Here is a 23,528-nt window from a genome sequence, read left to right as displayed (position 1 = left end):
GGCCAGTATTTATGATCAGCTTTGGTGATGCTCCGTAGATGCTTGCTCAGAACTCTGTTTACAGTGACCAACTTCGAAGTAGATCTATTCATTAACATTCTATTTGCCCTTATTTCTGTTGCCAACTTCATCACGGACTGAGAGTCTCAATGATTGTGTTTCTATCAGTTTCTCTGGATTGTGTCTGAAATGAATAAGCCTTTCATATTGAGTAGAGATGTGTCACATCATTGAGCCTATTTTTCACAGCTTCGTTATCCTTTACTGCCTCCAAACTAATTTTTTTTTTAAGACAGCATCTCACTCTGTCAGCCAAGCTGGAATGCAATTGTGTGATCATGGCTCACTGCAGCCTCAACTTCCTGGGCTTAAGAGGTCCTTCCACCACAGTCTTTAGAAAATCTCTTTGCCTTTTAGTTTCCATGCAAGCCCTTCTTATTTCCACTATCTCCATTCTCATCTCATCTGTTGCCTTTACATCTCAGTTTCCTCTCTCATTATTTTACCCTGTTTCGTGGTAGAGGCCTTGTCTTCTTTCATTCTACCAACAATGTCAAATCACCCTCCAAAATTTTCCTCTGATTTCAGAAAGCTGCTCTCCCACCAAGCCGTGGACATTATGTCCCTCTTACTCCCCCTGTTCTCTCTCTTTCTTTCTGTTTATTATTTGTGCCTGCTGAAAGACAGGGCATGAGAGTATCCTTGGCCTTAGGCTTTTAACCAATTGGGTGCTGGTCAGATTCCCTTTTCAGCTCTGTGTTGTGCTTGTGAGTTAATGTGCATAACTCCTACCCTAATTCCTAGTTTTTTCAGGAATTTTGTATTTAATGTTGCTGAACAGAGATGGGAGCTTTGATTTCACCACTGCTTGACTTTCTGATTCTCTGACTAATGTGAACAGTAAAAGACAATCCACACATACATGATGAACAGAGCTCCTCCTGTCTCGACCTTGGTTTCCAACAATTTGTCTCAAATATGAATTCAGAAGTCCATGAGTTCTACAAGAATTTTTAAATTCTATTCTTTTATTTTTATGGAAAATCTAAAAAAATTTATTGCTACAGGCATACCTTGGAGATTTTGTAGGTTCTGTTCCAGACTACGATAAGAAAGCAAATATCACAATAAAGCAAGTCACACAAATTGTTTGGCTTCCCTGTGCATGCATATAAATGTTATGTTTGCACTATACTGTAGTCCGTTAAGTGCACAATAACATTGTATCTAAAAACTGTACATACGTTAATTAAAATACTTTATTGCTAAAAAATGTCAAGAATCATCTGAGCCTTCTGTGAGTCATAATCTTTTTGCTCTGGAAGGTCTTACCTAGATGTCGATGGCTGCTGACTGAAAAGCGTGGTGGTTGCTGTAAATTGGGATGTTTGTGGCAATTTCTTAAAATAAGCCAACGATGAAGTTTGCTGCATTGATTTGCTCTTTCTGTCATGAAAGATTGCTCTCTAGCATGTTGTGCTGTTTGACAGCATTTTACCAATCGTAGAACTTCTTTCAGAATTGAAATCAGTCTTCTCAAACCCTGCCATTGTTTGATCAAATAAGTTTATGAATATTCTAAATCCTTTGTGGTCATTTCAACAGTGCTCACAATGTTTCCATTAGGTTGGTCCAAAAGTAATTGTTGTTTTTGCCATAAAAGTAATGGCAAAAACCGCAATTACTTTTGGACCAACCTAATAGTTCACCAGGAGTAGATTCCATCTCAAGAAATTGCTTTCATTGCTCATTCATAAAAAGCAACTCTTCATCCATTCAAATTTTATTATGAGATTGCAGCATTTCAATCACTTTTTTAGGCTCCACTTCTAATTCTAGTTCATTTGCTATTTCCACTACATCTGCAGTGACTTCCTTCATTGAAGTCTTGAATCTCTCGAAGTTGGAATCAAATTCTTGCAAATTCTTGTTTATGTTGACCTTTTTGACCTCCTCCTGTGAATTACAAGTGCTCTTAATGGTAGCTAGAATGGTGAATCCTTTCCAGAAGGTTTTTAATTTACTTTGCCCAGATCCATTAAAGAAATACTATCTATGCCAACTACAGCCTTATGAAATGTGTTTCTTAAAGAATAAAATTTGAAAGTGAAAATGACTTCTCAATCCATGGGCTGCAGAATGCCTGTTGTGTTAGCGGGCATGAAAACAACATTAATGCCTTTCTGCATTTTAATCAGAGCTCTCGGGTGACTAGCTGCATTGTCAATGAGCAGTAATATTGAAAAGAATCTTTTTTTTTTTCCTGAGCAGTAGGTCTCAACAGTGGGCTTAAAATATTCAGTAAACCATGCTATAAACATACATGATATCATCCAGACCTTGTTGCTTCACTATAGAGCACAGGCAGAGTAGATTTAGCATAATTCTTAAGGGTCCTAGGATTTTCAGAATGGTCAGTGAGCACTGGCTTCAACTTCAACTAAAGTCAGCACCTGAATTAGTGCCCGACGAAAGAGTCAGCCTATTTTTTTGTAAGTCTGAAGGTAGGGATTGACTCCTTGTCTCTAGTCATGAAAGTCCTAGATGACATCTTCTTCCAATAGAAGGCTGTTTCACCTGCATTGAAACTCTGTTGTTTAGTGTAGTCACCTCCATTAATGATCTTAGCTAGATCTCCTGGATCACTTGCTGTAGCTTCTAGGTCAGCACTTGCTGTTTCACCTTGCACTTTTATGTTATGGAGACGGCTTCTTTTCTCAAACCTCATGAACCAACCTCTGCTATCTTGAAAGTTTTCTTCTGCAGCTTCCTCACCTCTATCAGCCATCATAGAATTGAAAAGAGTTAGGGCCTTGCTCTGGATTCGGTTTTGGCTTAAAGAAATGTTGTGGCTGGTTTGATCATCTATGCAAACCACTCAAACTTTCTCCCTCTCAACAATAAGGCTGTTTCACTTTCTTGCCATTTGTGTGTTTACTGGAGTAGCACTTACAAATTCCTCCAAAAATTTTCCTTTGCATTCATAATTTGGCTAGTTATTTGGTACAAGAGGCCTAGCTCTTTTTTTTTTCTTTCTTTTTTGAGACAGAGTCTCACTCTGTCACCCAGGCTGGAGTGCAGTGGCATGATCTTGGCTCACTGCAACCTTTGACTCCCTGGTACAAGCGATTCTCCTACCTCAGCCTCCCGAATAACTGGGATTACTGGCATGTGCCACCATGCCCAGCTAATTTTTGTATTTTTAGTACAGACAGGGTTTCACCATGTTGGCCAGGATGGTCTCAATCTCTTGATCTTGTGATCCACCCGCCTCGGCCTCCCAAACTGCTGGGATTACAGGTGTGAGCCACTACACCCAGCCAAGAGGCCTAGCTTTTAGCCAATCTTGGCTTTCGACATGCCTTCCTCACTAAGCTTAATCATTCCTCACTTTCGACTTAAAGTAAGAGATGTGCGATCTTGCTTTCACTTGAACACTTAGAAACTATTGTGGAGTTATTAAATGGCCTCATTTGAATATTGTTGTGTCTCAGGGAATAGGAAGGCCTGAGGAGAGAGAGAGAGAGTCAGGGAACAGCCGGTCAGTGGAGCAGTCAGAACACACACATTTATCAGTTAAGTTTGCTGTCTTACATGGGCACAGTCCATGGCACCTAAAACAATTACCATAGTGACACCAAAGATCACTCATCACAAATCACCCTCACAGATCTAATAATAATGGAAAAAGTTTGAAACATTTTGAGAATTATTAAAATATTATATGGAGACCCAAAGTGAGCACATGCTGCTGGAAAACTGGCGCCGACTGACTTGCCTAACATAGCATAGGCACAAACCTTCAATTTATAAACAATGCAGTATCTGTGGAACACAATAAAACAAGGCACAATGAAATGAGGTGAGCCTGTGTAAAGATTAATTTCTGCTGCAGTGATGATTTATAGTTGAAAGTTTTGTGCATAGAATCAGATATCATTTTTAGGTCAGTTTTTAAAAATGTCATGATTAATTATTAGCATAATTAGCAAAATTGGGTTAAATTATAGTATTTGATACATTATTACATTTCCTGATTTTGATGTTTATTGTTGTTATAGAAGAGAAAGTTCTTGTTTTTAGGAAATAGACATTGGAATATTTGTGAATAGGAATAAAGGCATGATGTCTGCAAACTACTATCAGACGGTTCAGTGAATGAGTGTGTGTGTACATAGAAGATTGATAGATGAGCAAACGAGACAAAATATCAACAACTGTGTTAACAATTGGTAAATCTCAGAAAAGGTTACATAGATGTTATTTGTATATCTTGTAACTTTTTTGTAAATGTGAAATCACAACAAAATAAAAAAATTTTTTAATGACATGACTTTCAGGACCTCAGCCCACAAAGTATTCTTAGAGTGTGGAAAAGGTGGATTTTTAAATTTATTTAAAAGTGATTCAAGTGAGACACACACCAATAAATCCTTCACTGTGCCACCAGATTGATCATTAGATGGATTGAGTTTTAAAACCCTGATCATTTTACTTTCCTGCTTAGAAGTTTTCTACCGGCTTGTGAGCTCCAAGAAGGCAGAGAGGTCTTCTCCCTCTCTGTGTCCTCCACACCTAGCACGGTGACCAGGAACAGAGAGGACATCTGTTGACCTGAGGAATAGAGAAAACTATCAGATAGTGGGGTGGGTGGCAGGGGGGCCAGGGGTGAGTCCTGCCATGTTCACGGAGACTATGACTGCTTTGTGAGGGGCGAGTTGAAAAGCCCCAAGAGAATCTGCCTCCCTCAAATGTTTCCCACACTTTTTTGCCACCATGTTTGCAATTTCTACATTAGCACCTGTCTTAGTCTGTTTGTGTTGTTATAAAGGAAGGCCTGAGCGATTTATAAAGAAAAGAGGATTATTTGGCTCCTGATTCTGCAGGCTGTATAAGAAGCAGGTGCCAGCATCTGCTCCTAGTAAGGGCTTCAGGAAGCTTCCATTCATGGTGGGAGGACAAGGGGAGCAGGCATCACGTGGTAAGGAAGGAACGAAGAGAGAGGGGAGGGGGTGCAGGCAGATCTTCTGAGAACTAACAGAACAAGAACTCACCCATTAGAGCCAGCACAGTGCTAAGCCATTTACAAGGGATCCACCCCCACAACCGAAATACCTCCCATTAGGTCCCACTTCCAACACTGGGGATCAAATTCCAACATGTAGCTTGGAGGGACAAACATAGAAGCTGTATCAGCATCCCTTGTACTCTTTCTAGAAAGATAAAGTTTAACTGCACCTGTGTTTTCTGGTATGAGAAACCTATTAACATGCATTACTATAACGGCATAGATTATTGTCATTCATGAGTATCCTATATGGTGTAAGTTCCTTGAAGGTCTCAACCGTACATATATTTTAGTTTTTTCTAGCCCAGCAAAGTTCCTGAACATAGTAAGTGCTCAATAAAAGTGTGTTGAATAAGTAAATGAACAACTTTCACACCTGTTAGCACATTAAATACTAACATAAAAAGCCCCAAACCAGGAGAGACGCTGACTGTAAACCTTCTGACACCATTTACCCAAGAGGTAGGCTGTATGGAGTCAGACAGGAGACAGTTCTAGATGACACACTTGTCTCATGGGTATTCATGTTCACTCATGATTTGGTGCTAGTGAGAATAAACTTTTTGAAGAAGGACAATGATGGCTTTACCTGAGCTCAAAATAGGTGCTGAGATACCTCTTCTGAATCCTGCCAATTCAGCAAGGGGTTAATAGAAGCTTTCAAGCAGGCTACGTAATTAACAGGATTAAATCTCTACCTGTCAATTAAGCCAATATATTTGAGTATAATGCTATTTAATTCTGTACCAGAAACAGTGCAATAAATCAAAGTTTACAGATGTCTTCAGCAAGCCCTTGATGGATGAAACACTGTAACTCAGAGGTGCAAAGAAAATCTCAAATAAGATAACCTCCCATGTGATTAATATAGCTGTCTGCATTGGCATTGGCTCCAGAAGGTTCTAATCCAAACATGTTTAACGTCACATACTTTATTGTGACAGATTTAGACACCTGAACTAACTAACCAGGCAAATGGTGCTTAATTATACTGGCTCATTATGGACCTCAGCAATAAAGCTGGGACACAGAATTATGTGTTAATTCTCATCACATGGTCACACACAAAAGAAGCAGTCCAATATCCAAGGGTCCTATAGGGGTTCATGCACAAAGCACAGGATAGCAATCTGATTCCTCTAGGGGCTACCTTCCTTCTCTCTGGGCAATGGTGCTTCTAGTTCAGCCTGGCTAGCCAGCAAATGCATATTACTGAACAAAAGGGAAACAGACATGTGGACATGAATGTCTCCACAGACATTTGCCCATTTAATAAACAAAAATAATTGAAGGCCAAGTCTTTTTTCTACACAAAGGATGGTACCTTCATGAGAACATATGCATGACTGGAACTCTTGTTTAAGAGGCTAAACCAAATGCTTATCAACCATCTGCATTTATTTTAGAGTGCAATCCCCAAAGCATAGCCTTCTAAACAAGTGTACAGATTTGAGTTATTAGAAGTGGAATAGGAACATTCAGATACCAAATTCAACTCTGAGTCCCGTTTCTGAGCTGAACTTACTCATAGGGGACTTTTCTGTTTCTTATGAGTATCAAAATGTGCACAACTAATACAAAATTTTTTCAATAGGGTCAGCATTTGATTCCATCTGTTTGACTTCATGTGTGCTGAAGTCACAGTAAGAACAGGAGGCATGGGACTCAGTCATTGTTTGCTGATTGACTAGTCGATCATTAGCGTGTGCCAAATATTGTGTAAGAATGGTATGGAGAAAAAGACTGGTATGGGATGGAAATGAAGCATAATTCATACTCTCTACTATCAAGACATATCCCGTTTATTTGGGGAGAGCAGCTTGACACTGCTAAGGTTCACAGTGATGGTATTGGCTAGACAGGAAATAAGAATTCAATGAGGAGAGAGATAGTTGGCTGATGACAGAAAGCCTTCATGAAGAAAGTATAGCCATGCGCGGTGGTTCACACCTGTAATCCCAGTACTTTGGGAGGCTGAGGCGGGATGATCACTTGAATCCAGGAGTTCGAGACCAGCCTGGGCACCATAGTGAGTCACCACCTCTACAAACAGTGAAAGTTAGCTGGGCGTGGTAGTGTGTGCCTGTAGTCCCAGCTACTTGGGAGGCTGAGGCGGGAGGATGGCTTGAGCCTGGGAGGTTGAGGCTGCAGTGACCTGAGATCACGCCAATGCACTCCAGTCTGGGCAACAGAGTGAGATCCTGTTTCAAAAAAAAAAAAAAAAGCAGCAGCAGAAGAAGAAAGTGCGTTTGAAGTGAATGTCTAATAAAGGGAAGGGTTTGGCCTGCAGAGAAGATGGAGTAAGAGACACAAGATGAGAGAAACAACAGGAATTAATGTGTTGGGTGTGGGAGGCAGTATGGCGAGCCATTTATAGAGTGTGGGCTGCATATTGGTGAAGGATCAGGTCAATGTGAAAAAACTGCGTCTAGAAAAACGTGCAGAACCTAAAGTCAAAGTTAAGAGGGACATATTTAATTTCAGCTGTGTTGGCTCATGCCCATAATCCCAGCACTTTGGGAGGCCAAGCTTGGGGGATCACTTAAGGCCAAGAGTTAGAGACCAGACTGGCCAACATGGCAAAACACTGTCTTTACTAAAAATACAAAAATTAGCTGGGCATGGTGGCAGGCACCTGTAATCCCAGCTACTTGGGAGGCTGGCATGAGAATCACTTGAACCCAGGAGGCAGAAGTTGTGGTGAGCAGAGATAATGCCACTGCACTCCAGCCTGGGCGATGAAGTGAGACTCTATCTCAAAAAGAGGAAAAAAAAGACATATTTAAGATAATTGGATAGGGATGTGACCACATGAGAAGAAGGTTTTAAGAACCTTTGTCTGGAAAGGTTTACACAGTGGACTGGAAAAAAACAGCAAGAACCAGAGCAGGCAGATGAGAAGTTTTTACAAAATCTAGGAATAAGTGTGTGAGGAGCTTGACTACAGACAATGGAAATAGGAATAAAGTCCAGGATAGACTCCACAGCATCCATGCCACCCAAATGCTCATCGTCTTACACCTGTGCTAATGGTTCTGAACCAATCACAGCCATTTAATCTTTCTCAACACAGATCACTTTGGGATTGGGCAGGTGACCCTTTCTGGCCATGACAAATGCTTCTGAGAAAGGCTTCCTTTCCTTAAGTGAGAAACCGAAGATGAGACAGCCTCTCTTCTTCTTCTGGACCTTATTCCATCTGGATGTGACATGTGGAACTGCTGCACCATGTCACTATCAGCCTGGAAGATAATCTGAGATGAGCCAACCTTGAGCCTCACAGGCCCTCCAGACTTTAAGTAATGTGAGATAATTCCATTTTATTTTTCAAACTACTTTGGGTTGTGGAGTTTTGCTACTTGCAGCCAATACATCCCAACTGATCCGCAGTCCCACCTTCTTGAGTTGGGGATAGAAGACCCTTGTAACACACTATACACTGAGAAGGTGGAAGAAACAGAAGGGGGAGGAATGATTCAAAAATTACCGCATGCTTTCACTTAAGACTTATAGTCTTTTAAAATCTTATTTCATTAGCCTATTGCTAAACAAAACAAAACTTTTTTTTCATTTGTTTTGTTCTTTTCTTTATTTTTTGAGATAGAATTTCGCTCTATCACCCAGGCTGCAGTGCAGTGGTGCCTCCCGGGTACAGGCGGGCACCACCACACCTGGCTAATTTTTGTAATTTTAGTAGAGACAGGGTTTCACCATGTTGGCCATGCTGGTCTTGAACTTCTGACCTCAAGTGATCTGCCCACCTCGGCCTCCCAAAGTGTTGGGATTACAGGCGTGAGCCACTGCATGCCCGGCCATAAAATATTTAATTTATGGCACAATGAAATGAGGTTGTTTATTCCTCAGATTTGCTGAAATCAGTATTTTCTTTTATTTCCACCAACAGAGATGCCACTAATTCAAATGGGAATTCATGTCTTCCTCTCTGCCTTGTCTGAATAGTTATGAATGATGGTAATAGATACTTTGGTTATTCCTTGAGAATGCTGTGAGACGATGGCTGAGCTTTTAACTTCTGTGATTTAGTGTGATTCTAGATCATTGTTAGAATTGACAGTAGATATAGCAAACTAAATGCACACACCGGACCTGCTAGGATAAGCTAGAAGATGCTGCAGTAACAGCATGAGTGAGTCAGAGGCTTAACAGCAAACATTTACCTCTCACTTATACGAAGTCCACCCTGAATGTTCCAGGTAGCTCTCCTCCATATGGTGACTCAGTGGTCCCAGATACTTTGCTCTGTGGCTCTCTCAACACAGGCTTCCATGAACACTATGACAAGAGAAGAGAGGGTTGGAGCTTCTCACCCCAGTGACATATCAGGAGTGTCATTCCTGTTATGTCATTCCTGATATTCCATTGGCCAGCACTAATCACATGATCTGCCTAACTGCAAAGTGAGCAGGGATGTGTCATTGAGGCAGGAGAATAGGGTCTGGAGGCAGGGAACCTAAGGCCATCTCACACTAACTTCATAGAACTAAATTGAAAGGAAAACCCTAACTTTCCATGTCTAAGTAACAAAAGGATCAGAGGCTACAACCTTTGCAAACCCCCACCTTTTCTGCATGGCAGATGGGAAATTGAAAGTACCTCTAATTGGTTGCAAAAAGCAACCAATCAGACGTTTGGATAGGAGCATACCTTTGTAACTTCACTTCACCCTCTGATGGTGGCTGCCCACAACCAATCAGACTGATTGAGAGGCAAGTCTTCGTTTGCATAGAATGACAACTTTGAAACTTCACTTTAGCCTCTGATTGGTTGCTTCCCACAACCAATCAGATGTTTGCATAGGAGTGTGACCTTTGTAATTTCACTTCAGCCTCTGATTGGTTCTGCAACCAATCAGACTGATTGCGGGCCGCCACTTCATTTACATGGGGTGAACACCAGGTGGCCAATAGGAAACCTCTAGGGGGCATTTGGACCCGAGAAGATCCTGTATGGCGGCCATTGAGCCCCTATGCTCGGCTAGCTCCCACACTGTGGAGTGCACTTTCATTTTCAATAAATCTCGGCTTTTGTTGCTTAATTCTTTCCTTGCTTTGTTGGTGTGTTTTGTCCAATTCTTTGTTCAACATGCCAAGAACCTGGACACCCTCCACCAGTAACATCATCACCCATGTGTCCTAACAGAGAGGAGGACTGGGTGCTTAAGTGGCAAAGTTTTGAAGGGCATTACCTGCCCTGCTGGGTAGAGGGTGAAGAGAACTATAAGGCCTTTCGTAACATGAATAGGAATTGGGAATTAGAATTACTTAATTATGGCTCTTGTCTTGGTGGATTTGAAATGAGCTGCCTTTCGCTTATTGTTAAGTCTCCCAGCTTGGACAAATGTCCATCTTGACCATTGTCTTCCCTGTGACTCTTTTTTTTTTGAGACGGAGTCTAGCTCTGTCACCCAGGCTGGAGTGCAGTGGCGTGATCTGGGCTCACTACAACATCTGCCTCCCGGATTCAAGTGATTCTCCTGCCTCAGGCTTCTGAGTAGCTGGGATTACAGGTGCACGCCACCATGCCTGGCTAATTTTTGTATTTTTAGTAGTGACGTGGTTTTCACCATGTTGGTCAGGCTGGTCTCAAACTCCTGACCTCGTGATCCGCCCACCTCAGCCTCCCAAATTGCTAGGATTACAGGCGTGAGCTACCACACCTGGCCTTCCCTGTGACTCTTAATTCTCTGAGCTCAGTACCTTTCAAGGAAGATAAAACTAGGGAAACAGTTCAGATCGGATGGAATTGGATCTAGCGTGAGTGAGAGGGATGTTGGGAATAACATACCCAAGGAAATCTGGTGTTTCAGACTTGAAAAAGCTGCACTATATGGGAAGTTTCTCAGACAAGTCCTAGATAGGCAGGCACTGCTCTGGGTCCTCTTACTGACAAACTCTGGAGTGCTGTAAGTTGTTTTGTGAATGGATGTCATATGATGTGGTGGATTTCCCAAATTTCTCAGTATTTTTTTCCTTTTTGGAACAGAAGGGCCATCAGGAAAAGTCACCCTCTTGTCCTGTGGGCTTCACACAAGTGAAAGAGCTTCTATAACCATTTTTTTCAGGCACAGCCTGAGAAAGATCCCTGAAAAGTATCATTTAGGTTCAATACTTATCAGCATCACATTTTACCAAAAGCTTTCAGTTACGCTGGAAATCTTTCTTTTAGGTTGTTAACACAAATATAAAATTATGTCTATTCTCTCACTGAGATTTGGGGAATTTCATTATTTATACTTCTCTGACAGTCCAAGGGAAACATTGCTCAGATATGAGTGTGTAAATGGGAAAGATGGGGGGATAACAGGGGGATACCTCTACCCCCCAACCACCACATTTCTACCTCTGCCCTCTTTTTGCTACTTTTACTAGCTCCTCCTCCCCAAGGATTGATTGATCAGACTACAGGACATTCATTAAGCCACAAAGTAGCAGAATTTAGGATACCTGCACCTGAGCCAGTAACCTGGACTCTACTGTCTCTCCTCATTCTTGGAGGGCTTAAACAACCATCAATAGAGTGAAAATCTGTGATAAAAGGGGTCAACCTTGATCACCTCTCACACTGCAAGTGGCTAGGATTGCCATACCTTCTACAGAACAGGAAACAGAGAACCCTAGAAACACACTACAAAAGGCATCAATTCTATATTTAAGGAAAGTCAATCTGCTAGATACATAGCAAGGTTCTCATATAGTGCCTGCCACTTAGATGCTCACTGAACAGTTTTTGAACAAATAGCTGAGTAGGATAATTTGGATTTATATCTGATTATTTTTTTCTCTCATAATCAAAATAAGCCTGATTTTTGAATCCTGGAAGCACTGCCAACTTTCTTTGTAGCCTCAGGCAAGTTTTCTAACCTCTCTGAGATTAGTTTTCTCATCTATAAAAAAGAGGCAATGATGATAATAATAATATCCCACAGTGTTGTTGGGGAGATCAAATGAGAAAATCATGCAAAAGCTCCTGATAAATAATCATGGTAATAATGTTAAGAAACCTTCATATCTCTCCCCACCCTATTTGCGTAGTTAGTGAACTTGACTGGAGCACTTTTTGATTCCTTGTTTCAAAGTTCCTAATAACAGCAGAGCACTAGAGTCATTAGAGCATATAGACATCCGGCAATTGTGAATTTCCCCAAGCCCTTTGTTACTAGAATTTTAGTTCTGCCACCAGCCATCTGGTAAACCAAGTCTGCTTCTCTCTCCCAGCTATGTTTTCCCATTTTCATTTGGTGAAAGAATCAGGAACTGGACTATTTTTTTTATTATTGTTATTATTATTACTATTATTATTGAGTAGGCAATACATTGGCTCAAATATCAAAATGAATAAAAAGCCATGCATTGAACAGGCACACTCTCATCTCTGACATTGCTCACCCCACTTCTCAGCTTTCAACCCTTACTGGTAATCATTTTTATTATTTTCTCCTATATTCAGTTTTTTTCCTTACCATATACAAAAGGTAGCATACGGTTTATAGTGGTCTACATCTTACTTTATCATCTAGCAATATAAACTAGAGCTCTTTCTGTATTAGAACATACAGGGGTTTGGGATGTGTTTTTTGTAACAACTGCATGGGATTCTGCTGTGTGGATGTACCATGGTTTATTTAACAAATACCCTATTGTAAACACTCAGGCTCTTTCCAGTCTCCCACTATTACAAACAATACTGCAATAAATAATTTTGTACTTAAGTATCTCATGTGTGTGCAGATAATCAGGAAAAATAAATTGTCAGAAGTGGTTTTGCTGGCCCACAGGATAAATGCACTTATCATATTGATAGATATTGCCAACTTGGTCTTCATATGAATTCTACCATATTCTACTCCCAGCAGCGAAGTCTAAGAGCTTGAAACAAGCATGTTTAAAGCAATTTAACAGAAGACAAATGAGAAAAATTAATGAAAGTTAGCAGAACCAGGGGCAAGGAGCATTGATACATTGTAGGTTAAAATTGCATTACGTATTAGAAATGGAAAAGTTAGGTACTGGTTGTACTGAAGGAAAGGATATGAGATTTTTACAGCCCAAGCAGCCCTTACACTACAGTCTCTAACAACAACAGCAACTCACCTGTGTGTAGCGGGTCACACTACAAAGCCCTTTGTGTACATTAGCTCAGTTGGTCTTCACAACATCATGTGACGTATGTGAGAGAAACAGAATTAGTTGTCCTAGGTGAAACAGATGGATCCCCGCAGTGCTGGGACTTGAGCCAATCTTCTGACTCAAGATTCTGGGCTTTTTTTGGAAGAAAACCTAGGTGGAGGCAAAAGATTCCTACCACTCATCACAGTCCATCCTCCCCAGCCACCCGCATGCATCTCATTCATCCAGTCGCTCACTGTCATTCCCACTTTCCATGTCATTTTTGACCCCAACTGTCTTAAGGGTGGTGAAGCGGTTCTCTTGCCCTGCCTTCAGCCCACCTCTGATTTCAGTGCAGCTGTGCTGGGCCATTCTGATATATACTGGCTGGACACTCGCCCCATGCCTTCACTTTCTTGCTTAGGGGCAACTTCTGAAGTTCGTGGATCTTACTCAGTCTGGAAGTGTGGGAGGGGCAGTATTGAAGCTTATGTGGGCGATCTTCAACCAGTGGGGGACAGGAGTTAGAGGGTAAATGCCCAGCTGGCGAGGTAATCTAAGAAGCATCCTACAGGGTTCCTCAGAGAGGAGCCTGGTGAGACCAAGCCCCAGCTACCACAGCTGTAATGAGCTCCATGACATCCCATTGCTTTTCTTCCCTCTGCATCTCACTCTCTCTTCACTCCCTCACTCCTGCTTCTTGGGATTTCCTCCCAAAAGGCCATCTACACTGAAGTCCTCGTCCAGGCTCTGCTTCCAGGGCAATTCTAACCAAGGAAGGTGGGTTTATGTTTCAGGACATGTCAGTATGTATGGGTAAATAATCAGGTAAGTTTCTGGGGTGGGAGATTTGAGAAGGGGATGCAGAAGCTGTATGCCATCTTGAGGCAGTGGAGAAGCATGAATGGGAGGGAGTCAGGTAGATTGAACTATTCTTGGCTTTGCCTCTAAGCTGTCATGTGATCCTGGGCAAATCATTTACCCTCTCTGGACTTTAGTTTCCTCATAGTAGAATGGAGATAGTAAACAGTCCTTGCTGCCTCATAGGGCTGTTAAGAGTGTGTCCCATTCAACCTCTATCGGGTGCTCAAGGTTTTTTCTTTCCAACACCCACTCCACCCACTGTTTGGGGAGAATAACTGATTGGGTCAAAAGCTGGACTCTGACTTACAGGAAGAAGTTCTTAGGAGGAGGATTAAAAAGATTTAAATTCCTATTTTCTAAGTGGAGTAACTTCTCCTTAGTGTGGTCTTGTCTTAGAGCTATTCCTACCTTGGATTTTGGGGGGTTTTCTTTTTTAAGATGGCCTTATTCTCTTCTCCTCTTCATATGCCTGGTGCCATAAGATCTGGAGCTACCCCTCCTAGAAGGACCCTGCCTTTGGGAGCATTCAAGGACCAGGCCAGTGCCCTGTGTAGGAGATGCATCAAGTGTGTAGCTGGGACCAGATCTGCTTCAGTCCCTCAGAAGAAAGGTTCTGAGTGCTACTACTCAGATGGCCAAGACCATGGTGTGTGCCTTAGGGAAAGGGGACAGTGACACCCTTCCCCTGGCTCCAAACAAGGCCTACAGCTTGTGAAAGGTAAATTAATCTTGGGGTGCCAAATTCACTAAGCTAAAGGGTAAAGTGAAGCTGGGAACTGCTTAAGGCTAACCTGCCTCCCATTTTATTCAAAGTCACCCCTCTGCTCACTGGGATAAATGCTTGTGATTGCCTCCTTTGGAGAGGCTAATCAGAAACTCAAAAGAATGCAGCCATTTGTCTCTTATCTACCTATGACCTGGAAGCCCCTTCCCCGCTTAGAGTTGTCCTGCCTTTGCTTCGAGTTGTCTCGCCTTTTCCAGATGGAACCAGTGTTCAGCTTATATGTATTGATTGATGTCTCATGTCTCCCTAAAACGTATAAAACCAAACTGTGCTCTGAGCACCTTGGGCACATGTCGTCAGGACCTCCTGAGGCTGTGTCATGGGCACGCGTCCTCAACCTTGGCAAAATAAACTTTCTAAATTAAACAAGACTTGTCTCCAATTTTGGGGATTTACAAGCTCAGGGTACAAATGAAATAATTGACAGGTGTCCTGGCCCAGCCAGCTTGCCAGGGATAAAAACCACATAGGGGTGGAGTTGGGGAGTAAAGCAGCCAAGTGCCTGTATCACAGGCAGGCACCCCTGCAAGGGAGCCCCCAAGAGTGGTGGTGCCCTTGGGGACTTGGGATCCAATTCCTTCTCCTTCTCTAAGAAACACAACCACCAGTGAGAATCAATGACATAAAGTGTAACGGGGTCTGGAAAGTGGTGTAAATATTACTATGGGACAAAAACTAGGCGTCAAGAAGGAGCAGTGCCTCAGGCCCTTTCTCCTTTCTCTCCTAGGGCTCTGCTCAAGTCCCTGCACCAATGCAACCTGCCAAGGGAAAGCGCTCACCATGGTTCTGTCTTGACCTGCCAGTTTGTGAGTGATTCACACATTTTAATACCCAAATGTGCAGTCTCTGTTGCACATCGCTGTTACTTCTAGAGTGGGAAAGAACTGGGGATGTTTCAGCCTGAGGGCCAGGAACTGTGCATAACCCCAGCCCAGCTTCCCCAGCCTCCACTTACACTGAGCAGCCTGGCAAGGGACTATCAGACTTGTGGGCAACCAGGGCTAGCCTGGGGCTTCACTTGACCAAAGGATTTGGGGCAGTTTCTTCAAAATTTGAGTCTGCCCATGAGACTGTTGAATATGTAAATGTCATTCATCATGTCTATTATGGTGGGAAAAAAAAAGACATTGAGAATCATTGGCTTGGGAATGGCTCTTTGACATGGAGTCCCTCCTATTTGGCTGGGCTGAGCACCAGTGCCGTAGTACTGTTTGGGTACAACAGAGGCTACTCCAACAAGAAACTGAATGTGCAGCTGCCTTCAGTTGGAGAGTTTGTTTCTTTCTCAGTACCAGGTCCAAGGTGGGCTGTCCAGGTGGGAGGGGCAGCTCTGTTCCTTCCACCTTGTTGCTCCATGATTTCTTAGGGCATTGGGTGTGGATGGCTGAAGTTGAGTTGCTGCCATGCCCATATTCCAGCTTGCAGAAATTTAGGAATTTAGTAAATGTCATGAATTTGGGGAGACAACTTGCAGTCTGCAGTTCCACCCCAGCCAATTATTCCCCACTCCCTTCTATTTAGTCATTTCATGTAGGACCAATGCTACTGATTCAGGAATACCAGAAAGCCAGAGTACCCAGGGTAGATATATTACCGAGAATGCAGAGTGTAGCATGCATGGTACCCAGCTGTGCTCAGTGTGTCAGTGAGAACAGAATATAAAACACGGACTTAAAATTCAGGACAGAGATACACAATTGATGTAAGAAGGGACTGTCCTATTGGAGAGGTGAAAACATGCAAGCTGGGATATTGAAAAAGACTGGAACCATCCTTCCCGCGGGCTCCTTCAGAACATCATTGCTACTGATCACTTCTGCCTGAAAACCAGAAGCTGAGCAAGGTGACCCCTTGAGCTCCTTCCGGATTTATGATTTTTATTATTCCAGTCCCTAACAGGCTTGTCATCCCCCCAGACCAAAACAAAAAAAAATCCACTTAAAAAATAATCTATGTAAAAAGAAATGCTGAGGGGGAAAAATCAATTCCTACCTAATTCTACTTTCATGTTAAGAGATTTTCTTCTTTTCATTTTTCTGACTTAGACTATTTGCATAGAGACAGAATCGCAGTTCATCCGCTCATGCCACTTCTCTTTGTGTTTGTATTCTTGTCTGCACTAGGCCATGACAATCAGTTGCCGTGGTGATAACTGCATGCGTCAAGAATAGAGAATTTCATAATTTCAGGTGTAGGATGACTTACTCCATCCTTGCTTGATGGTTTCTGTGATAGTTTGGGCTCTTTTGCTGCTCTTGTAAGAGCAAGAAAGATCTCCTGTTGAAAGGAATTATTCCAATTAATATTTTTAAAGCTTCTTTCTTATTTTCTTATCCTCAATTTATAGAGATACCCATCTAAAGTCACTGTCGCTTACAGTTGTGGCAATTCTGAATGTCGACAGGAGAATGTCTCCCGGATTTCAGCCTTTTAGAAGATAAAATGGTCCTATGTGTTCATGAACAAAACCCACCAGTTTCCCCAGGGCAGTGAGTTACCTGACATCTGGCAGATTCCTGGAAGGTAACTGTGATTCCAAACTTCTGGGTTGGTCTCTGTCTCCCCCAAAACCTATTTCTCAATCAGCTGAAATTCCATAATTAAACATCCCTTGCTTGGTCACCTGGTATACAGCAAAAGCTTCCTTTGAGCCCTCACCCTGACCCAATTACTTGGAAAGATACAGGGATCAGGGGTTCTGGTGGGTGGGATGGGAAGGGAAACACATGAGCACAGAAGCAGGGAGAAAGGGGCCACTGGGGATACCAGAACCAATGTTTTCTTCTTAGACATTTCCTTGGATGCAGGAAGAACGCATGGCGGAAGGTTGATGGTGGCCCACCCGTATCTCCTCTGCCCACCTGGAGGTCACCTGCAGCTTGGCCGACATTTCCCATAGAGGGTGATGGTAGTCACCTCCAGCACCTGTTTCCCTCTGCCCCATACCAGGTTTCCTCTGGCCCCATACTGGGATCCATTCCTGGGACAACTAGAAGTGCCAGGGAGTTAAAGCCCCAAGAGCGACCTTCAAGCCAATAAGAGATGGAGTTGGAATGAAAACCTCAGCTTCCTCATACCTCAGTGGGACAATCCTGAGATGTGTTCCTCAAGTCTCTCCAAGGACCTGATGGGACTGAGTCCTGGTTGCTCATGGTAATAATCCTCATATCCACTCACCCTTCCTTGGCTTTCCCACCTCCCATCTCACTCTCCCACTTGCTTCTCATCCTTCCTGGAATCACCTCTCCCCACTCCTGCCCATTCCCCAGCCCCAGTAAACTACTCGGACCTAATTCCTCACTCAAGGTTTGCTTTTGAGGGAGCTGAACCCAAGACTGCATGTTTTCTCAAAGCAATAACAACTCGTTGGTACCCCACCATGTCACCTACCACCCTAAATCAATTTCCCCCAAGTCCCTACAGAGAAACCTCTGCTTGAGTCACACTATTTCCCTAGGTGTTTCCTGATGCACACCTCCATGTCTTTCATAACAGTCCCTGGAAAATTTCCTAGTCTCTTTTCCTGCCTAAATCCTTCAAGACTCATGACGCCAGTCCTTGACATTTCTGACAAAGTGATCTGCCAACATTGTAGACTCCTGATGGAGGCGTATCATCTACTTTTCCTCATGGCCATTTTCTCTGTTTAATTGCCTCATTAAATACAAATGAGAGCCAATGTTCTTATCAGAAGACGCAAAAATAAAATTCACCCTTGAGTTAACCTGATGACCAATGACTTCTCATATACCTCAAATGACAAATGTTAGTAACAAAAACACCTGCACAGATATAGCATGATTGAAACAAGGAGGACCATGGGGCGGGGAGGGCGCATGATTCTCTTGGATGAAGCAGTGGTGCGTTCTTATTTTCTATCTTAATGAAAAATTGCAAATTCTACACTCTTGTAGAACAAATAGCATTGTGACTTATGCTTCACAATTTATGTAATTGATTTCTTGGGTTTCTGACAGTTCTATCATGTTTCCAATAAATATATTTTCCCTCCCTAGGAAGTTGGTCATACAATGTTGGGAGCGGGTGGTTAGGGGAGCCCTAATTATTTTCATTTCTTTCAATTCCAAGGCAATTACCCCCTAAATCATTTATTTGGCACTTATCAGAAGCCAACTTGCATTTTTAATTCCTTTTTCTTCCTACAAAAGCCCAGCTTCCCCAGGCAGGCATCTTGCCTTGTCCTTCTCCCAGGATCTGATAATTGCCAGTCATCTAAAAATAGAAAAATAATTTTTCCTTGATATTGATGAGAATGTTGACACCTTTCTGAAACACATTATAAAATTCTCTGCTTTCTTCCAGAGAGAAACCAGCAGGACTGGATGTCAGTGATTGCACCATGCAGGATTACAGATTGTGCTGAGTTTAGATTTTCTGCCTTCCTCCTCAGTTGTCAGGCTGCTAGCCAGCTCTTCTGCTCCCATGACACCTGCATCGAATGCCTGCCCTTTCCTTACTACAAGACCCTTTCCAGTTCCCAGATTAGAATCTGCCACAGGCTAGGAATCCCACATCCCAGTAGTGATTTGGCTCCAAGTGCAAAGGCACCTAGTGTCTGCCTTTTGTTCAGCAGCTTGGTGATGGACATATCCAGGACTCAGAGACCCCTTTCCCTCAGCTCTCTGAGTTGGAAGCTGTCAGGTGCAGAAGGGCAACATCTTACATACACAGGGTTTGGGCAGGTCTGGGCAGTGCCTGGTTAATGTTAAATAATGCAGATAAAGGAATTGTTGACATCTGAAAGTCAATATGAAAATTGTATGCACTGCTGTGACTCATGCAACTTCACTCCCAGCCCTGGTTCTCATGATTCCAGAAGTGGAAAAAATAAGGCAACTCTTTTCCTCACAATTCAAAAAAATACCTATTGAGCAACATCAGCTTGGCCCACACAAGACAATTTTTATCCCTTCCGTTAGTTAACTTTGCTTTGGCCAAAGGCCAGAAAAACCTCATTCTTTACAGGCAACCTCAGACCACCATCCTGGATCCACTTCAAAAACTAACTGCAGACCTGTGTCTTACTAGAGGTGATTTGGTAGCATTGAAGATCAAATCCCGATTTAAAAAATTAAAAAAAAAATGAACATAAAATGCATTTTTAACAATGTTTGCAGTGTTTTTCTTGTCTGCAAATTAATTATATAGGTTAATACAGGAAACTTCCCATTGCACACACACAAAAGAGCTCTGTCTAACTGAACAACCAATCTTGTTGGTAATACAAGATCTTGGGGAATTTGAGCTAGATCATCAGTGAGCACTGGAATTCTCTGTTTTAATGGATTCAGTCATCACAACACTTCATGCACACATCGCCTCCTGCAGTATCACAACCCCACCAGAAAATCTTGCTCTGGCTGAAAGAAAACTAAGAAGTAGCTTTGGTTTTACTTTGATGGAAAACTCTCAGGAAAGTTCTGTTTTCATGGATATTTACGTGTTTCACACGCCCAGTCAGAAACCACCTGAGAAGTTCACACAGTAGGTGTGCTGGTGGTGAGTATTGATGGAAAGTTTCTGCACCTGAGTTGAGTCAACAAATAAATGCTCCATGTCAACAATGGCCCAGCCCAGGAGAACCATTGAAAGCAATGATGAAACCAGCAATTCTTAGAGAAATACTCAACAGCTTTTTGGTAGCCTGAAAGACTAGGCAGACATAACAGATACTTGGTGAATTCAGTGTTGGGAAAGGGTTTTTTGGAGATCCCATGACTACAAGACTAACCACCAATGAAGTATGTGGTACCTCTGATACACTGTGAAGAAAGATGAGGTCATCGAGTGCTCATTAGGGCCAGAGCTTTTACCTACATGCATTTATTCTCACAACCACCCTACACTAGTTCTGGGGTTATTGTCGTTCCATAAATAAGTCTCAGAAGGATTAAAACCATCTGCCCAAGGTCACCCAGCAGGTAAGAAGCAGGACTGGCATTAGAACCCATGCCTTTCCTGCCGAAACTACATACACATTCTTAGGAAGATGCTGCTTTGGAAATGAAGCTTCTCGTAATACAAATTCCTCTCCAGGGGTGATATTCAAAATATTTAGCCACAGTATGACAGGGTATTGACCAATCAGAAGGGAAGCAGAAGTAAACAGTATGGACAACTATACCAGCCCTTTTCTACTGAATATCTATCTGCTCCTCCTCTTCAGCCCATCAATGTGATTTAGAACTGAGTGATTGTAAAGAAGTTCATGATGGTCATTGTTATCAAAATATTTTTTACTCCAATGAATATATATTTTTATTTTATTTTAGAGATGAGGTCTTGCTCTTTCACCCAGGTTGGAGTACAGTGGCACAATCATAGCTCACTGCAGCCTTGAACTCCTGGGCTCGAGTGATACTCCCACCTCAGCCTCCCAAGTAGCCGGGACATGTGCCATCACACCCATCTAGTTTTTTTTATGATAAAAGAAATTTATCTTCATGGTATAAAATTACAAAATATTTTAAAATGTAAAATAAAAGCTAGAATGTAATTCAAACACACACATACACACACACACACACACTTCCCCCATAGGTAAGATCGTGACTTTTTCATTTATATAATAAACATCTTGCCTTGTCTTTAAAAAAGTCTGATGACTCTATGTCAATGGCTACTTAGTATTTCATTTTAGGCATGTAATATCATTGATTTACTCTTCCTTTTCTTATTGCAAATTTTGAATATTCCCACATTTTTGTTTATATAAATAATGTTTTCATTAATATCTTTGTGCCTGAAGTTCTGTTTGCCTTTTCTCTTTAGGACAATTCCCAGAATGGTTACTAGTGAAAATGATCACAGACTCCAATACTGTTATAAACCTAGAAGCTGGCCTTTTTTGTCTCAGTTCACCTCCTCAATCAGGGACATTTTCCTTCCACACATTACAGTTACCACCAATACTAATAATTATCATAATCATCATTATGGTTATTACCTTCATGTGACATCTCACCTGGGACCTTGGTGACATCACATCACACCCATGCCAACACCTCCACTGATTTCCCCCACTGTCATTGAGATAAAGTTAAATCTCCTTCATGTGGTTTGCAAGGCTATGTGTGAGCTTGCCTCATCTTACTGACTCTGCCTCATAGTTTGCTATTCTGCCCTTGAACTTCATGGCCTAGCAACATCACACAACTTTGTTGGCATTGCGTAATGAGTATTCAGGATGGTCTCCAGGACTTTGTACATGCAGTTTCCCCTGCCTGGACTGATTTCTTTTGGCAAGTATGACCACTGCACTGCACCCATCCTAAGAGTGGGCCACCTTCCCCTCCTAATGCCCCCATAGCATTCTGGAATGCCCACCTTAACATTCATCACACTGTAGTGTAATTGGCAGTCTTTCCCCCAGGTACTAAGCTCCTTGAGGGCAGGAACTGTGTCACCCTAACTATATCCTCCATGCCTTTTGCAGGTCTGGCATATGGTACACAAGGAATGCATGTCTGTTGAGTGAACAGAACACAATCTATGTTTACAGTATGTTTCTGCTGCTCAGGTCTGCATGAACCACAGAAGAGCTGAGGTATTGTGGGTCTCTGAGGAGCTGTCATTTTCTTGAAAAAATTTTCCTGATTAGAAAGCAATAGACCTCAGCAAAAATGGCAAGAAAGCCAAAGCCAAATGCTTAAGGCTCTGGTTAGCAGCAGGAAAACATGGAGAGAGGAAGGAAATGCATCCCTCATAAAGCAGTTAAGTTCAAACAGTAGATCTAAACACTAACTTCAGGTAGGGAATTCCCATTGCCAGGGATCAGCATTGCAAGAAGAAGTGAATTCTTTCTGCTTTTAAGGGCCCAGCCACAATATAGAGACCAGAATCCCATCATAGCCTGGGGAGCAAAAGGAACCAAGTTCAGGGAGCTGACATCTCAGACCTGCCATCCCTGCTTTCCAGATACAAAAGGGAAATGTCTTCAGATGTTTATCTAGCACATATGAATCAGTTCTGTACCTTGCCTTGTCATCTTTCCTAAGGTTGAGCTATCAGATCCGAGAACGTTCTGGAGTCTTCCGAGGAGTCTAGCTCATGGTGACTCATCCCTCCATGACCCAACCATCTCTCTACTTACCCTTTGAGTTTATGTGTGGGGACAAATATCTCAGGGTCAGCCAGCTTCCAAGCCATCAGAAGGCTTTATAGTGCCGTGGAATAATACAAAATTGGACATCAAACGACCTGGGTTCTAGTGCAACTTTCATAATTAACTTGGTTGTGTCTATTTCTTTCTGGATCAGCATTCTCACCCGGAAACTGAGGTGTTTGGGGCCAGGCCACTGATGAAATCCCTTCCAACTCTCACATTTTTCTAATTCTACTCATATGTAGAATTACAACATCCTAAGCTTGGCATTGTTGGGAATTCTTTAAACATAAAACATGATTTCAGTCCAAAGGCAAATTTGTGGGGAAGAAAAGACAACCTAGAGTGACTCTCTCTTTCTTCCTATGTCTAAATGCTATGTAAAAGTTACTACCCCATCCAGTCAGAGATAAGGGAAAAACTTCACAGGAGAATTGAGACTTCAGCTGGTCTTTGAAGTAAAAGATCTAGCAAAAGCCCCTGGCAAGAAATAGTGCCTGCAACAAGCCATAGCCAAAGTACAGACTTTGTGTAGTAAAGCTGACACCTCCACCAGAGTCC

General features: G+C 42.3%; 2 long non-coding RNA genes across 3 annotated transcripts, besides 1 other annotated feature; one reads left to right on the top strand and one right to left on the bottom strand.

Annotated features, from left to right (window-relative positions):
* Nucleotides 1-4,378: 4,378 nt before the first annotated feature.
* Nucleotides 4,379-21,940, bottom strand: LOC105375518 (uncharacterized). The gene is made up of 3 exons (XR_928001.3): nucleotides 21,828-21,940; nucleotides 9,247-9,361; nucleotides 4,379-4,614 (listed from the first exon to the last, which is right to left on the bottom strand). It is a non-coding gene; the product is annotated as an uncharacterized LOC105375518 (long non-coding RNA).
* LOC105375517 (uncharacterized) lies at nucleotides 14,359-19,973 on the top strand. Of its 2 annotated transcripts, XR_927999.4 has the most exons (5): nucleotides 14,359-14,776; nucleotides 15,570-15,648; nucleotides 17,190-17,365; nucleotides 17,792-17,995; nucleotides 19,166-19,973. It is a non-coding gene; the product is annotated as an uncharacterized LOC105375517 (long non-coding RNA). The 2 variants fall into 2 exon arrangements; XR_928000.4 differs by lacking the exon at nucleotides 17,190-17,365.
* Nucleotides 22,034-23,233: an enhancer, noted in NCBI's record as "MED14-independent group 3 enhancer chr7:134050229-134051428 (GRCh37/hg19 assembly coordinates)". NCBI's record gives its function as "activates an origin of replication core promoter dependent on BRD2, BRD4, P300/CBP and CDK7 cofactors, and independent of MED14, by STARR-seq in HCT116 cells {active_cell/tissue: HCT116}" and the evidence as "EXISTENCE:reporter gene assay evidence [ECO:0000049][PMID:35650434]".

This window comes from Homo sapiens, chromosome 7, assembly GCF_000001405.40.
Source record: "Homo sapiens chromosome 7, GRCh38.p14 Primary Assembly".
NCBI lineage: Eukaryota > Metazoa > Chordata > Mammalia > Primates > Hominidae > Homo > Homo sapiens.
The sequence above is the reverse complement of the archived record's forward strand: the minus strand, read 5'-3'. Positions and strand labels throughout refer to the sequence as shown.